Source organism: Homo sapiens, chromosome 4 (genome assembly GCF_000001405.40).
Source record: "Homo sapiens chromosome 4, GRCh38.p14 Primary Assembly".
Lineage (NCBI taxonomy): Eukaryota > Metazoa > Chordata > Mammalia > Primates > Hominidae > Homo > Homo sapiens.
The window spans coordinates 47,712,965-47,730,499 of NC_000004.12; the positions used below are offsets into that span (position 1 = coordinate 47,712,965).

Sequence of the window (17,535 nt, forward strand, 5' to 3'; positions counted from 1 at the left end):
AGAAGAAATAAGTTTTGCTTTTACAGGATTAACTTTATAGTAGATAATACGCATAGATCAGGGTAAGGCAGTTTTTAAAAACTGAGAGGAAAAATGGGCTTCTACTCTGAAAAAAATTAGAAGAATAGAAAGAAAACAATAAAACTTTCTTCAAAGCTATAGGGAATAAAAAGAGATAATGGAAAAATCTTAAGACTTAATTAGGTGTGGAGAAAAATCTGCCAAGAGATGAAGCCAAGAAGTCAGATTGTTAATTGCTTATTTATTTCTAGAGCATTGTCATCAGAACGTGAATAATGAATAAGACAGTAACAAACAACAGAAAAGTAAGAAGTAGTTGAACATCTGGGGAAAGATTTCTTAAATAACCTAGACTTGGCAGTATTTCATCCACTCAGCATTTTTAAGGAAGAAAATATCCCATGCAGGGAAACATTCAAACAACTGAAGCTTATCTACTTAAGAGTTGTAAATTCTTTCATGATTTTATTAAAATTCTGTTAAAGGGAAACCTGTTCTCTACTTTCTGAAATGTAGTGTGTTAATTTTAACCACTTTCTTAATGCTCCAGGGTACTTTTGGTGAACAGCAAAAACTTCTCAGCCCTGCGTGGAGGCTCCTGGGGTGAATTTGTCCCCGTGCTAACCTGCCTAAGACTTTCTTGCTATTTAGAGTGTGTCGCTCTTCTCCACGATGTAATCACAGCAGTCCCGATCTCTACCAGTGCCCATATCCCTGCACCAGTAACTGTACCCCTCCACATTTCCAATCTATTTCCCAGTAATTACAGAGATCTAGGAAACCCAAAAAAGCAAATTTTTAATGTTTTTTTTTAAATAAAAGTGAACAAGCTCCAAAAGAGGGCCTCAGGGAATCTTTTTTTTTAATGGCATAAATGAACATCTATTTAGATCATAACCACTTTTGTTTTTTTGCTTTTTAATAATTACTTATATTCTGAGTAATTTGGGTAGCAATCTCTGGAGAAGTGAGGTGTGGCCATATATTCAAATGACTGAATTAAAATAGAGGTACCTCATGAAAGGAGACAGTTGCTATAGTGGAAAGGGCACGGGGTTTTACCAATGGAACTGGGTTCAAGCACCAGCTCTGCCTCTTACCAGCTGTCTCTGAGTCTCAACACCTTACTCTTTAAAAAGTGAACATACACACCCACAATGCAGAGTTATTTTAAAGATTAAAAGAAATACAGTATTGTGCCTGCCTTTATACTTGGCACATATAGAGCTTACGTAGACAAACTTTAGTATTATTTTTATATCTTTGAATATGTATGGACATTTCTATGTATGTCTAATATACTCACAAGTGATTAACACAAACCGAAAATTTAATCTGTAAGAAAAAAAATCTACTTTAGATTATTTTAGGTAAAATAAGATTCATTAGATTTCTGGAATTTTACAGCTAGAAGAGACTGGCAATCAATCACACAGTCCTGCTTCCAATCCCAGAAATGAGGAAACCAATGCTGGAGAGTAAACATGACTTGGCCAATGTCATAAAGCTAATTAGAAACTAGAGGTAGAACTGGAACTACGATTTTCTAATGTCCAATTCAGAGTTAACCTAGAACAGAGACTGACAAACATTTTCTGTAAAGGGCCAGATAGTAAATTGTTAGACTTTGTGATGCATACAGTTTCTGTTACAACTGTTCAACTACACCAATGTGGAGCAAAAGCAGCCATAGGCAATATGTAAGAGAATGAGTGTGGTTGTGTTTCAATATTTTATTCAGAAAAACAGGCTGCAGGCTGTCTTTGGCTCACAGGCTATAGTTTGCTGACCCCTGATCCAGAAGAAGTTAACAGATTTTTTAGCTAGAGGAAACATGATGGACATAATTCCAAATCAACACATCTTTCTGCTTTCTATCGCCAGTGCACTAGAAAAGCTGTGTGACAATGAAAGAACTCAGAAGAATGAGACTTAAATGTTGCTATTATGACTAACATCTTAAAATAGTGTTTAATAAACACAAATCTTGACCTCAAGATTATTTTATTACTTAGTAGCAATTAGGATAATCTAAAAAAGAAGCTCTAAGAAAGCAGGAGGAGACTCAAAGAATTGGAATTCAAAATTATCTTGGCTAAATAATAACAGTGAAGAGAACTAAAATAGTAGTACACATACAATGAAGCAAAAACTAAAACAGAAAATACTATGGAAAAGATAAAAGTGTTCTAACCTAAAGAAATAAGTAAATACTGCCATCAAAATTTACTGATTACAACTGAAAACATGTCTTATCTATCCAAGTAGTACTTTTACATTAGAACCTATCTCTCCAAGAGATCATCCTTAAAGTCAGAATCAAAGAGCATGATGTTGGGGCCAGGCCCAGTGGCTCACATCTGTAATCCTAGCATTTTGGGAGGCAGAGGCAGGCGGATTGCCTAAGCTCAGGAGTTTAAGACCCACCCTGGGCAACATGGCGAAACCTCGTCTCTACTAAAATACAAAAAATTAGCCGTGTGGTGGCAGATGCCTGTAGTCCCAGCTACTCGGGAGGCTGAGGCCTGAGAATTGCTTGAATCCAGGAGACGGAGGTGAGCTGAGATCGTGCCACAGCACTCCATCCTGGGTGAAAGAGCAAGACTCTGTCTCCAAAAAAAAAGGGGGGGAGCATGATATTGGAACCAGGAATAATCTACCAGAAATAAGAACACCTCCAAAAATGTGTCTTTCTGGTTTGTGTCAGGACCTCCTGATAACATTGGTCCCATGATCATAATCGTCATAATATTCTTCAGACACATAAAGAAAGATCTCATGGAGGAAGGTGACCAAATGCTTTTTCCTTTCCACTGAGGATGAATGTGAAGAAATACCTATGCTGCAATATGAGGCAGAGATAAATTTCTTGTTCCTAAGAAGTATGACATATTGGAACGGGTTGGCAAAGGAATAGTGTTCAAGCTTCCTCTAGAGAGGCTTTGAGAGAGTCTAAACTTTGCATCTGTTTGGCGTGAGGTTTCCTCCCTAAGAGAAAGGGAAGTAGAAGAATTTTCAACCTCTGAATTTTAAGGGAGCTGTTCAAATTGTAATTTGACATACTCAATTGAACTAAATGTAGTACTCTATTTTCCCTAACACTTGTGTTGCTCCCTAGTAGTAAATTGGTTGTTTACTTTTGAACATCTACCTTGGAGGCACTAAAGAGTAACAGGATGATCTATGATTGGAATTGGGTTCATTACATTGTACCAACTTGCTCCCAACATCTGTTCTGTTTACACAATGACACATTCAGAGTATTCAGTGCTTAGTGCAAACAACTATGATCTTCCAATATTTGATTTCTCCTTGGGCTTTCACACACCTCAGCTTTGGTTTCACTGAATGATTTTTGGAAGAAAAAAGGGCATAAAATAAAGCTATACCAATGAATGAGAGATTGAGTGATAACTATGAAAGTTTTGTGTATACAACTTCTGCAACTCAAAGGGCTCTCTGATGGTGTTAGCAAAAAACCGTGTAAACACCCTTGCCCTCTGTCAGGACACAATAAAAGCTGTTTCTTTAATATCACAGTATCATTGTCTGTTTTTAACTTTTCTATTTACATAGTAAAGGAAATTTTTCACTTAATATTTAAAGGATTATATAACGATCCAATACAATATTAAAGCACACAGAATAATGTTGTTCAAATATATAATATATATAGATGACTTTTTCTACTTGTATATGTTCACTTAGAATGCTTTTAAAATTTATAGCTAAATCCAGCTACAAGAAAATTTTCATTTCTTCAATATAGATCATAGGCATTTTATTTCTGTGCATCAACTTTTAAAAAGACAGCTTCAACTATCACATAATAATGTTGACACTTTATAAATATTAGTAAAAAGTCAATAAAAATGAAGCCACTTTCATACTGTTAAAAATAACATGTTAACTAAAAAAAATACTGTTGGAAGACATGTATATACCACATTCATTACAATGGAAAGTAGAGAAATACCTGTTAGTTGTAACTAATGTTACAAACAAAATTTCTATAGAAAGAATACTATGAAAATTAGAACTAAAGCATATTTTTAAAAGTTCAATTGGCAGGATCCAAAAAAATACCTACCCTTGAACAAGAGAAATTATATTTAATTTCTTTAAAGGAAAAGTCACTTTTTATGTTAAAACTCAAAAATCTCAGAACCACAGTTTTTTCTCTTTTATTTTCCAATGTAACATCCTCCAGGCTTTTTCAAGCAACCACATGGATCTAATAGACAACTCACGTATACGAACCAGTACACACTCAATTTTACCAATTGGTAAAAATTGTTTTCTCTCACCCACAGCTTTGACCAGGTCACCCCTGCCCCCACTGTGGCTTCTCTATTGTTCTTATCAAATGCAGACTCCCGGGATCTCAGCTTCAAAGACCTCCTCTAGTTTTCTCAGCTTTCATTTCCTCTGTAACCAGTCTGTATTCTTCCAGCCAAGAAATCCTTCATTCAGCCCTTTGATTCACCGTCCCCAATCCTTCATCCATCCTTTTTCTTACACTTCCAACACTGGCTCAGACCACATTCAACAGTGACTTCGCCCCTGAAATGGGATTCAACCTCAACTTATTAGGTTAAATATCCAACTGCTTTTGTTTGCTTCTTTATATTTTTAAATCTAATGCTATTTGCTCTGTACAAAAGAGATTATTAGATAGGACCAGGCCCCCTGCATCAAATTTCTCAAGTATTTTAGTCTTTCATGTTCAATCTGTTAGACCTCTAAAGGGCATAGCACAGAATGAAAGAAAAGTATCTGTATTACATTTAAAGACCGAAAAAAAGAGAGGCACTGTAGTATATTTTATGATTGCAGGTTGTAGGAATGTCCATTGATATTGCTTTAGGGACCATGACAGAAGCAGAAGATAGTGGGAATGTTAAGCACTAGATACAAGATGAACAAAGACACACACAACCCCATATCACACCACCGAAGTGATAAACTGGCAACGAGAGGTGAGAAGGAGGAACAGAGATGGATACAGGAGGGAGGGGAAACTGGGAAGCAAATGGGCACAGTATTCCCAGTAGGAATACAAGTCACCAGAGTTCTTCCTGCCAGGCAGAACACAAGCCATCTGACTATGTGCCAAGTGCTGAAATGGACACACAACATTAGCAACACAAAGCACTATCTCATTAGACTTCGTTTCCAAAAGTCTATTTTCTTTCCTCCAATAAACATTAGGATTAGCCTACTTATTCTGTTGCTCCCAACACTAATTCCAATGAAACTCCCAGTTACCATGTGAAAGGTTGGATTAATTCAATGACCCTATTTTCTTCATTGCTAAGAGCACCTTTATACATTCTCTCATTCAAAAATACATTGAGTATCAAGGTTATCTTGTCAGAGAATATCCTGAAATGATGAGCCCTAGTTTCTTCATCTGTAAAATAAGGATAATAATTATGTAACTATTAGGTAGTAAGGAAAATTAAATGAGACAGGGTATGTAAACCACTTAGCAGTCATTGGCATCCAGCATGCGTGCAATAAAAGTTAGCTATGATTATTGTCATTGTTATTACTATAAGAACCTTGATTTTAGCAGATGACAGTTGTCATTGTAACCTAACGTGAGCTTTAAACTAGAAAATTTAATTTTTAGACTAAACAATATTTATATGCCTTTTCTATCTTCCTATCAAATACAATGAATCCCACTGTTTTTCAGTTTTCCTGAATTCATGCAACTCCCTTCCAATTCTGAATTCAACAGGTTGCTGGCCTGTTTCCTAGTCAACACTACAGAGGAAAAACATGAGCGAGGAAGGAAAAGTACTAAAGCAGAAGATGTCTATTCCTTAGTCCGTGTTGTAGTTAAAAGATGAGTCTGTTGAGTCATTACCCACAACTCCTATGGGTCCCAAGGGAGGACAGTTGTCATCAGAACTGCTTTTGCAACCTGCCCTTTTAAATGCTCTGAGATATTTGTCCTCTTTCTTCTTGACTTTTTGCTTTGCACTTCACATGCCCCCTCCATGAGCTCATTCACTCCTTTGATTTTAGCCCAACACATACATGAATAACTCCCAAGCTCTTGTCTCTGCAGCTCAAGCCTCTCTCCTGAATTTCAGGGACCTGCAACCAACTGATATGCCAGGAAATTTACATCTCCAAATTATTCTTTATCATAAACTTTTCTATTCCTTGTGGTCTCTACTTTGGCAAGTAGTATGACAAACATGTTTCACCTTTTCCCAACCAACCACCTGGTGGTCATCCTTCCTTCTACCTTTTGCTCTTCCCAGTGAACCACCAAATTCTCCATATGTGAGTCCTTGAGAACAGGGATTTTGCCTTATTTGTTCCTCAACCCCAGTGACTAAAACAATCCCCAGCACATAGCAGGCTCTCCGTACATATTTGTTATATAAATGAATAGTGCATAGTTACCGCTCCATAACCATCTGCTATATGAAGGACTGGATGCTTTAAGCTGCATTCTCACAAAACAGGAACAACATACAAATTATTCTCCTTTACTTAAATGTTTCTAATAATTTCTTCTTATAAATAAGAATATTAAACCATATAATGCAGTTTTGTTTTCTATCAGAACAACAAGACATCATGTGTTTTGTTACAATGTTCAAATGTTAGTCCTCTGGCTGTTGAGTTTCATAGCTAAACAAGAAGTTTTTCAGTCTTCAGACTTTGTAAAAATCTGTAAAAACCCTCTATTCAAGTTATACTCAGCAAGGGGTCTTCTGAAATGTGCGTGGAGAAAATTGGAAACAGCTTAGCAACTGAAAAGAATAATATTTCATAATATCCTATGGAGTAAAAAGTCAGATCCCGTGGGGCCACTCACTGGGCATGTTAGGCAATTTCAGAAAACATTTTCAGAAAATTTTTTCAAATATTCTATATGCTATTTGGTGGACAGAAGTAACCTGTCATATGTTGCCCACGACTTTTGAGTGGTTAGCCTCACTTTTCATTTAAAACGTTTTTATTTGAATCGGTTGTAGTAGTATAGGGGTCTAAAGGACATATGTGCATTCTTGCTAGAAAGTATGTGGCCTGCCTTTTACTTTGTGTCTATAGTCAAATCAACTTGCATTGCTTTGCTTCATAAAAATAGCATAAAATGTGCTACAAATAAATAAAAGGAAAGTACATTCATGCCTGCATCTGTGTTTGACTTGCAAAACAAAAGACTTCATGAAATAAAAATATTTTGAGGCTCTTTTATTTTTATCACTACTTATTCTGTACTGGGCAGATCTGAACACTACATGTTTTCTTCAATTAGAAGTCATCCAACAGGTGGACTTATTTTCAGTGCAAAGTCTTAGCCAAGATTAAGCCATATATTTCATACATCTTGTTCAAGATGACTGAGACCAAACCTCTAAATTTCTTTTTCTCCAGGTCAATATTCGCAGTTCTAAACTAAATAACCACTTTTTTTTGGTACTGTGTTGAGATTTATTCAAACTGCCAACCATGAAAAGAAAAATAGGAACATTCCCAGGAAAAAGAGTGGGGTACATGCAGATAACTATTGGTTATCCATCACAAATTATAAGGTTAGTGAATAGTATTTGCTTTTATATGCAATCATGTGCTATTTTTATATACATCTACATAGAGCTATCCCTACACATCTACTTCTTGTATGAGATGAACTCATCCCTTCTTTCGTGGGCTGAATGCTATAGGTCTACCTTTAATTTATGCTATTAAGTGCCTGCAAGAGATGATTTTTAAATAAGTAGTTTTGCATACAGAACCACCATTTGATTCCAACTTTGAATGCTATTAAGCTAAATGTACACAGAAATCCTTTTTACTCCTTTTAAGATGTGTACACTATGTTTATGACAGTGAAGTCCTAGGTCTTTGAAACACTAACAGGCCCAGATTCAAAGGGGTTCAGATCACAGCTCAGTCAAGTTCCACCTCTATGATCTTGAGCAAATCACTTAATCTCCCTATCAGTTCTGTCATCTATAAAATGGGAAGTGCCTCAGTCCATTCAGGCTGCTAAAACAGACTACCACAGATGGGGTGGCTTAAACAAGAAACATTTATTTTTCATAGTTCTGGAAGGTGGAAGTCCAGGATCAGGGTGCACAGTGGCATTCTTAGTGAGGGCCCTCTTCCCGGTTTAGTCCTCACGTGGCCTCTCTTGATGCATGTACAGACAGAGAGAGAGAGAGAGAGAGCACACAAGAGCGCTCTATCTCTTACTCTTCTTCTAGGAGCACTTCTAATCCCATCATGGGGGCTCCACCCCCATAACCTCATTTTTTCTTTTTTTTTTTTTGAGACGGAGTCTTGCTCTGTCACCCAGGCTAGAGTGCAATGGTGCGATCTCAGCTCACTGCAACCTCCACCTCCTGGGTTCAAGTGATTCTCCTGCCTCAGACACCCAAGTAGCTGTGATTACAGGTGTGTGTCACCACACCAGTTAATTTTTGTATTTTTAGAAGAGATGGGGTTTTGCCATGTTGGCCAGGCTGGTCTCGAACTCCTGACCTCAGGTGATCTGCCCGCCTTGGCCTCCCAAAATGCTGGGATTACAGGCGTGAGCCACTGCACCCAGCCCATAACCTCATCTAAACCTAATTATCTCCCAAAGTCTCCACCTTCTAATACCATCCTCTTGGGGTTACGGTTTCAGCATGTAAATTTGTGGGTGGGGGATGCAAACACGCAGTTCATCACAGGAAGAATAACCATAATCCTCACAGTGCTGCTGGGAGGAGTAAATAAGAACATGTATCTAAAGGGCTTAGCACAGCACTTAGTACATAATAAATGCTCAGCAAGATACATACTATTATGATAACACTGTTATTATTAAACACTATTAGGAAAACACCATTATTTGAATTGCAAAGTCTGGCCATCGTTTCTTCATTTTGTTTGTTTTATTCTGTTACTACCTTAACCATATTCACCAGAGTGCAGCATGGCTTAAAATTAATTGATTTTTTATTCTACAAATCTTTAATCCAAACACTATTTCCACAGACCCCACCAGCTTCTAACATTTAGCTATTCCGTCTTCACAATTTCAGCATTTTTCTGAGCTTAGTATTCATCACACATACTGATGCAATCACTTGCATATGAGTACATGTATTCCCATCACTCACGTTCCATTTTCATCCAATGTTTGCCTGTTTTCACACATAAGTTATCACTGGAGAAGTGGAACCAGGATAATAGCCAGGTCTGCTTAATCCTACAACAGCCATCTTCTAACTGTGGAAGGTGTTTCCTTAGAGATATACAAGGGCTTTCCAAGGGTATATTACAGGCAGAGATAGTTTTAAAGGAATCAATTTCCACACCCTTAAATTTCCTCTTTTCTATCATTGCCTATCTGAGGGCACATGCAGGATAACGTCCTTTCTTACCGCCCTTTTCGCAATGTTCCTTTTTTTCATCTGACAAAAGAAAGGCACTTTTTAAACATTTCAAACCTGCTATGGCACATGCTCCTGGGTATAAAACATCTGGAGTTCCAAACACATAGACAATTTAAAATATCTTCCATCTTGCTATCCTGCCTCCTCATTCTCCAAATGTTGTCAGAGAAGATATTGTTCCTGAAGGAAAATATTTGAAGGACAAAGTTAAAAGAGCACAAATAAACCCCGAAAGCAGAGGACCAGAGGCTCATTTCAGGCAACAAACTTATTTTATTTTGTCTGTCCATCTGTCTACCGAAATACGTATCTTAAAATTTGAAGTGAAACGTGGGATTCTAAGATTCTAGGTCCAGTTAAAATGGAGTAAAAATGTCCCACCTTACCTCCCCCTGTGATTGTAACTAAATGTTGTGGACAGAATACACAAAGCAATTGTCTGTGGTATCCAAACAGTAAAGACCAGTAAGCGGACTAGGAAGGGAAATAAAAACTTAAAGAAAGAGTAATAAGGAGGTGAGCTTTCTGGTGTTTTTCTTTTTCTACTCATATTTCCCAACATAGAATGAATGCAACAAAATCATGGAACTGTGCAGCAGTCTTGACCAAGAGAAACTCTCTCCTTGGTCAGACGAATAAGCAGGAGGGGCCCTGCAAAACCAAAGGACGGGGAGTCCCCTGAGACATCTCTTCTCCTGACCGTCCCTTGGAGGGGGCCCTAGAAGCTGTGCTCATGGAAGCTGTACTCATGCAACAGTGGCAGCAGCAGCCAAGGTTGCCTATTTGCCCCAGAGTTGGCTGCAACAGTGCAAAAGGCTAAAACTAGAGCTTTTTTGACAGAGGACCAGGGCAAATGGTCCCTGGAAGTCAGAGAGTTTCAGGGAGATCACAGAGAAGAGGGAGCTTGAGATGAAAGATCCCACAGAGCTATGTATAAAGTCCTGCCTGGGTTTATCCCTCAGGTCTCCATGCATGAAAATGATTTGAAATAGAATACCAAAAGCTTTGAGAAGTAAGCAACAATGTAATCCATGGCCCAGATATCAGACTGATCCCTGGGAAATACACTCATGGGGAGGATCCAGAGAGCACTACAAAGGCTTTGAAAACTGAACTGACATTGGAAACAAAGCCCTTAGAAGGCATAATGTGACTTGTGACCGGAACTTAACTGGGTCAACTGACTATGAAAAGAAACAAACACACAAACAAAATTAGCATTTTCCAGAGAATTCTAACAGGACCCAGAATATCATAATATTTTCAAAATGCCCAGGATATAAGTTAAAATTAATTAACATACAAAGAAGCAGGGCAAGGCCAGGCACGGTGGCTCATGCCTGTAATCCCAGCACTTTGGGAGGCCGAGGTCAGGATCACAAGGTCAGGAAATCGAGACCATCCTGGCTAACACGGTGAAACCCTGTCTCTACTAAAAATACAAAAAATTAGCCAGGCATGGTGGTGGGCGCCTGTAGTCCCACCTACTAGGGAGGCTGAGGCAGGAGAACGGCGTGAACCTGGAAGAGGGAGCTTGCAATGAGCTGAGATCGCGCCACAGCACTCCAGCCTGGACGACAGAGTGAGACTCCATCTCAAAAAAAAAAAAAAAAAAAAGAAGCAGGGCATTCTCAGCAACCCCTAAGTGAAAAGATAATTAATAGGCACCACCCCTGAAGTGACCTAGATGTTGAAATTATTGAACAAAGACTTACTTTAAAGCAGCTGTAATAACCATACTCCATGAAGTAAGGGTCAACAAATTTGAAGTGAATGAAGGATAGAAGTTATCAGTAAAGAAATAGCAGCTATGGAAGCTCAGAACTGAAAAATAAAATAACTAAAATATTTTTAAAAGACACTGAAATTGCAGAGTGAAGATGACAAGACAGAGTAAGTGAACTTATAGCTAAATTAATAGATATTATCTAATATGAACAAAAGAGAAAAGTTTTCAAAAAACGAACATAACTTCAGGTACCTGCTGTATATTATCAAAAGGTCCAATATTGATGTCATTAAAAATATAGGAAGGAAAGGAAGGAGAATGAGATTTGTACAGAAGAAAAGTTTGAAAATTTAATGGCTGAAGTTTTCTAAATCAAAAGAAAGATATAAATTTAGACTCAAGAACCTAAATCTTTGGAATTTTTTTGGAACTCAAGAATCTCAACAGAACCCAGATAAGATAAACTAAGAAAATAAAATCAAAATAATCAAATGACTGGAATTTATTCAGGAATGCAAGGCTAATGTAACAGTCAAAAAGTAATAAATGTAATCTCTACATTAATAAGCTAAAGAAAAACTACGTGATCATGCCAACTCATACAGAAAAAGCATTTGATAAAATTCAACATCTTTCATAATAAAAACTCCTAGAAAATGAGATTTAGTTTATGGGATTACCTGATTAGGTCTACTGAGGATATTCTACCTTTCTTAAAGTCAGCTGTGCCAAATAACATAATCTAATTATAGGAGTGACTGCAACATCATATTCAGTTCATCCCCACATTCAGAGGTGAGGGGATTATACAGGGTGAGTGAACCACAGAACTGGAACCCTAGGAACCATCTTAGAACAATGTTTACCATAACTAGCAATGAACAATGGGAACTCAATGTTTTAAAATTAGTACCTTTTACAATAGCTCTCAAAGTATCTAACAAAATACGTGCAAGACCTATATGAGCAAATTATAAATGCCAATAGAAGAATCAAGAAAGACCTAAATAAATGATAAACCAAGTTCATGGTTTGAAAGACTTAATATGTTTAAGATGCCAAGTCTCCCCAAATTGATCCACAGCTTTAATACAAATCCAATCAAGATTTTTGGAACACTTTTTTTTTTGTAGACATAGACAAGCTAATTCTAACACTTACATAGAAAGGCAAAGAACTACAACTGAAAAATAAATGTTGAGACATAACACAGTGGAAAAACTCATACTATTCTTTGTTAAGTCTTAATATCAAGCCATACTAATCAAAACAATGTGGTTTGGTTAAGGAATGAGCACATAAATTAATGAAACAGAATGAACAGTCCAGAAATAGACCCACGAGAATAAGGTCAATTAATTTTTGATGGAGGTGCAAAAGCAATTTAATAGGAGAAATATAGGCCTTTTAACAAATGTGTCTGGAACAAATGGACATCCATTTGGAAAAGGAAAAAAATACCACTTGACCTATACCTTATACCTTAGGCAAAAAGTAACTCAATGCAGGTCATATAAAATGAAAACTGAAAAAGTCTTGGGAGAAATTATGAAGGAAAATCTTTATGCAGTTGAGATAAGTAAATAGTTCTTATATGATACAAAAGTATGTTGCATTAAAAAATTGGTAAATAAAATCATTTGTTCTGTGAAAGACACTGTGAAGAGAATGAAAAGACAAGGTACAGAGAGTGGGAAAATATTCCCAAATCATATATTGAACAAAAGACTTGTACCCAGAATATATAAAGAACTCTCAAAACCCAACAGTAAGAAATCAAACAACATCAAACAACCCCCCACTCCTGCCATAAAATGAGCAAAAGATACGAACAGACACTTCATAAAGGTGATATTCCGATGGCAAGTAAGCATATTAAAAGATATTCATCATTAGGCAAATTTAACCACAGTGAGATGCTTCTACACACCTATTAGAGTGGTCAAAACAGAAACAACAAAAGTCAATCTGACAATACCAAGTACTGGTGAAGATGTGAAGCAACTGGAAGTTGCATACATTGTTATTGATGGGTATGCAAAATGATACAGCCACTCTGGAAAAACTGTTGACAGATACCAATCTAGGTATTCATCTTAGAGAAATTTGCCTATAAAAACTGTAAGTGAATGTTTATAGCAGTAATTTTCACAATTACCAAAAAACTGGAAACAATCAAATTCCTTTCAATGAGCAAATAAACAAATTGAGGTACAGCCATACAATGGAATACTAGTAAGCATTAAAAATAACCACTGATACATGTAACAACATGGATGAATATTAAAGGCATTATCGTAAGTGAAAGAAACAGGTTTCAAAAGGGAATATACTGTATGATTCCATGTGTGACATTCTAGAAAAGCCAAACCAGAGATGTGGAGAACAGATCAGCAGTTTCCAGAGGTTTGGAGTGTGGTTTTGGCCATAAAGGACAAGACGAAGATGATATATGTAGGATGATAGAACTGTTCAGTAATCTAATTTTGTGGTGGTTACAAATATCTATGCATGTGTTAAAACTCAGAACTATATATACACACACATACAGTGAATTTCATTGTATGGAAATTTAAACATAAAAACTAAAGTCAGCCTATTTCTTTCAGAAAGTAACTCTGATTTGATGAATAAGTTTTGACATTGAAGACTGGCATTACTAGTTAGATAAATTTTACATAAACTGGATGAACAAAACTGACAGCTCCAAGTTTTGATAAATATATATTTAAAGCATGTAATAATATAAAAAGCATTTTATTAAAATATTGTATTAGAAAAAATTAATTGAAATTAACCAATATTTCCATTTTTTATAAATTTTTCTGAATATATAGAGCTAAACAAAGTGCCTCAAAGTGAAAGAGTAATAAACAGATATTTGATAAATCCTGGCAATATTCTCAGAAGTAGAGACCATGCATGGCTTTACTGACTGGGTAACAAATTCATTTGCAAGTAAGGTGCTTTCCAAGTCTGTGCTTTCAAAAATGGAAGGAGAATCTAATCAAGTTGTCATCTAATCATTAAAAATAATTTTAATGATAAATCATTACTATTTGCTTTTTGACAGTACAGTGGGAAGCTTCTCAAATAATTGAATGCCATTATTCAATAAAACTCTTTCTATGCCCATGTGTTTAATCATATGAGTAAGTTTTCAAAGCACTACCATCTAGAAGAAAAAAGTAGGAACACAATTGATGCCAAACTCTGATATAGTCTACACAAACCAGTGTTCAAAGAAAATAAACTGCATCTAATACATCAAGATATGGAATTCTAATATGTGTCACATTTAAGGTTAGTAATTATTTATAAACATTTATAATAGATTGAAAGTACAACTTTTTGATAAATTAATCAGAAAATAAACTGTTGACAGAGTCTTATGACTGAAGGAAAGTTTTTTAAAGTAATAATTTCCATTTTATGCACAGTTTTGTTCTAGAGATGCATGGTAGGGGGATAAAAATAATCTAAGCATTAAAAAGATATTACACTGTAATGAAATTCTGTAGGTGAAAGGAAATAGAAATGACTTCAGAGAGAAAAAGGAGCAAAGTAAAATTTGCTGAATGTTACAAGAGGAGCTTATAATTTTTTAATGTTTGGTGAATGTCAAGGCACTATGGGATTTAGGTTTCACTAGACACATTTAAAATAGTTATATGTCAATTATTATAATAGTCTTTAAATTCTATTATCTGACACTATTTACATTCACAGTTAAAATTTTGTAGATATTAATTTAAAATTGTACAAGGGCTGTGTACTTTGTCAAAATCCTTTGAGGGTACACAGCAAAAATATTTGGAAGACCACATATCTAAAACACTATGTTGCACTGCCTCCTCGATAAGAGCTTAACTTTTTGTTTAAATGTGTGCAGGGTTTCAGACACAAAATAAACATATGGATAGAGCAGGTGAGAATGGAGACTTCAAATTGCTTCCCAATTGCTGAGCTCAATGGAATTGCAGTTATGAAGCTCACAATGCTATTTAGCAGAATGAAGTCACAATTTCAAAAGAGATTCATAGATTTTCATGTGATGATTCTGAATCATGCATTATTTTCAGTGGGTGGCCCAGAGTTTAGAGTTCAAACTCTAGGATGTCTGAATTACTAGATAACTGCCACATTACTGTTGAGAATATCAAAAAGAACTGATTAAGCTTAAAGAATAATGTTCACCTAAAAGACATAGATAGTATCCTTTCCCAGGAATTTTGGGAAACAAATACGAAACTTAGAACTAAGCTAATATTTCTGCTATGTGAAAGAAAAAAAACCAGCATTTTGTTTTTCATTTACCTGGTTCTGTAAAGATCTATCAGCTATGATTAAATTGACCATGATGGGGCGTACAAAGCTGAATACAGAACTAAAATAGATGATGTTTTGAATAGCAAATGAGCAGCATTCTTGTTAGAGTAATCAGAACTGATTATTGACCAAAATAGACTCAGGGATGTGCACTTATGATCATACATATTAAATAATATCAGACTTTTGACTTGTTGCTAAAAATTTCCATATTCTACTGTAATCTGTAAGACCACAAATGTGGATTTCTGATTGTGATTCTGAAATGTGATTCTGATTTCTGATTCAGAGGCATAATATTGACAAAATGAAGATGGTCTTGGTCTCCAGCCACTGAACAAAATAATATTCTGTAAGAAGCCCAAGGATCAACCTATGATCTTGAGCTTCTGAGCTATCAACCTGTAAGCCAAGCAGCTAGCTTGGCAAGAGAGTGAGAAGAATGAATGCAGATGAGGAAAGAAAACCTCTATATTTCTGTTTTAGGAACCACTGTGCCACTTCAAGCAAAGCAATATTTGGCAGAGAATAGAAACTTAATCTCAAATGATCTATAAACAAGAATTACGGAGCCCGCAGAGAACAGGTAGTATTTAGGCTCAACAAGAAAACGATTTTATCTGGCACTGCTTCTTTATCCTGGGTATGTGGCATAGCAAAGTCAAAACAAGCCTGTAATTCTCCCAGAAAAACAGTGGAAACTCACAGGATGAGCATTTCTCGTGGTCACAGATCAAAAGAAGTTGTTAGGGACTTAAAAGTATTTTTAAAGCTTCAAGTTACAGCAAAATGAAATGTTAAATACCAGAAAAGTTGATCATGAAGTTTCTTCATAAGAATTCTGGCATATCCTTAGCTCTATCACTACCCAATAATGACAGCTGTTTCTTACATAGCTTCTCTTCTTCATCTCATTTTTGACCACTCTCCCTAGCATGTTCTATGTAACAGCCCTACAGACAGTTTCTGACAGCTGATTAAAAGAACTGAGGGGAGATATCTGGGGCAAGAACGTCGCAGCAGATGGAACAGAGTAGCTACAGCCTAGAGAGCAAAAACAAAAACATTAGGAGAAAAGTCAGAGACGCAATCAGGGCCAGATAATGTAGAGTGGGATGTCTATGTTGCACAACTCTAGGAGGCACAAATGATACAGACGGGAGGTGGAAATGCTGGGTAGAAGAGGGCGGTTCCCCAACAAAGGCCCCACCCTTAAGCTGGAAGACCCACAGCTCTAAGTGAGGACAGGCATTTCTGTTTTCACACCCAAAAAGTTGCCTTTTGGCCCACCACACCCCTCATCCTGCCCTCATATAAACCCAAGACCTTAGCGCGCACACACACGGAGCGGCTGAATATCGGAACCAGCAGATCAGTGAAAACGGAATAACTTGGCAGAGAAAGAGAGAAGAGAGAGGTTCGGCCACAGAGGGGAGTTCAGCGGAGAAGTCTGGCCGCTGGGTGCTCCGGCTCCAGGGAAAGACCACCTTCCCACTCCATTCCCCTGCTTCCGGCTCCCCATCCACCTCGCTGAGAGCCACCTCCACCACTCAATAAAACCTTGCACTCATCCTTGGAGCTCACGTGTGATCTAATTCTTCCAGTACACACTGGGCAAGAACTTGGGGTACAGAAGGCTGTCACACTGGCTCCCTGCCCTTGCGATAGGGCAGAGGGTCCATTGAGTTGATTAACACACAAGCTGTCTGCAGAAGGCAAATTTAAAAGAGCTTGCAGGCCGGGCGCGGTGGCTCACGCCTGTAATCCCAGCACTTTGGGAGGCTGAGGCAGGCGGATCACGAGGTCAGGAGTTCGAGACCAGCCTGGCCAATATGGTGAAACCCCATCTCTACTAAAAATACAAAAATTAGCCAGGCGTGGTGGCGGCTGCCTGTAGTCCTAGCTACTCGGGAGGCTGAGGCAGGAGAATCGCATGAACCCGGAAGGCAGAGGTTGCAGTGAACTGAGATTGTGCCACTGCACTCCAGCCTGGGCGACAGAGCGAGACTCCATCTCAAAAAAAAAAAAAAAAAAAAAAAAGAG

General features: G+C 37.2%; 1 protein-coding gene across 3 annotated transcripts in view, besides 1 other annotated feature; it reads right to left on the minus strand.

The window, feature by feature from the left end:
* The window catches only part of CORIN (corin, serine peptidase), a 244,067-nt gene that overhangs the window by 118,964 nt on the left and 107,568 nt on the right, over positions 1 to 17,535 (minus strand). The window lies entirely within an intron of this gene.
* Positions 4,099 to 4,677: an enhancer, noted in NCBI's record as "OCT4-NANOG hESC enhancer chr4:47719080-47719658 (GRCh37/hg19 assembly coordinates)". NCBI's record gives its function as "activates a minimal SCP1, AML or CMV promoter by ChIP-STARR-seq in naive H9 embryonic stem cells {active_cell/tissue: H9 hESC(naive)}" and the evidence as "EXISTENCE:reporter gene assay evidence [ECO:0000049][PMID:30033119]".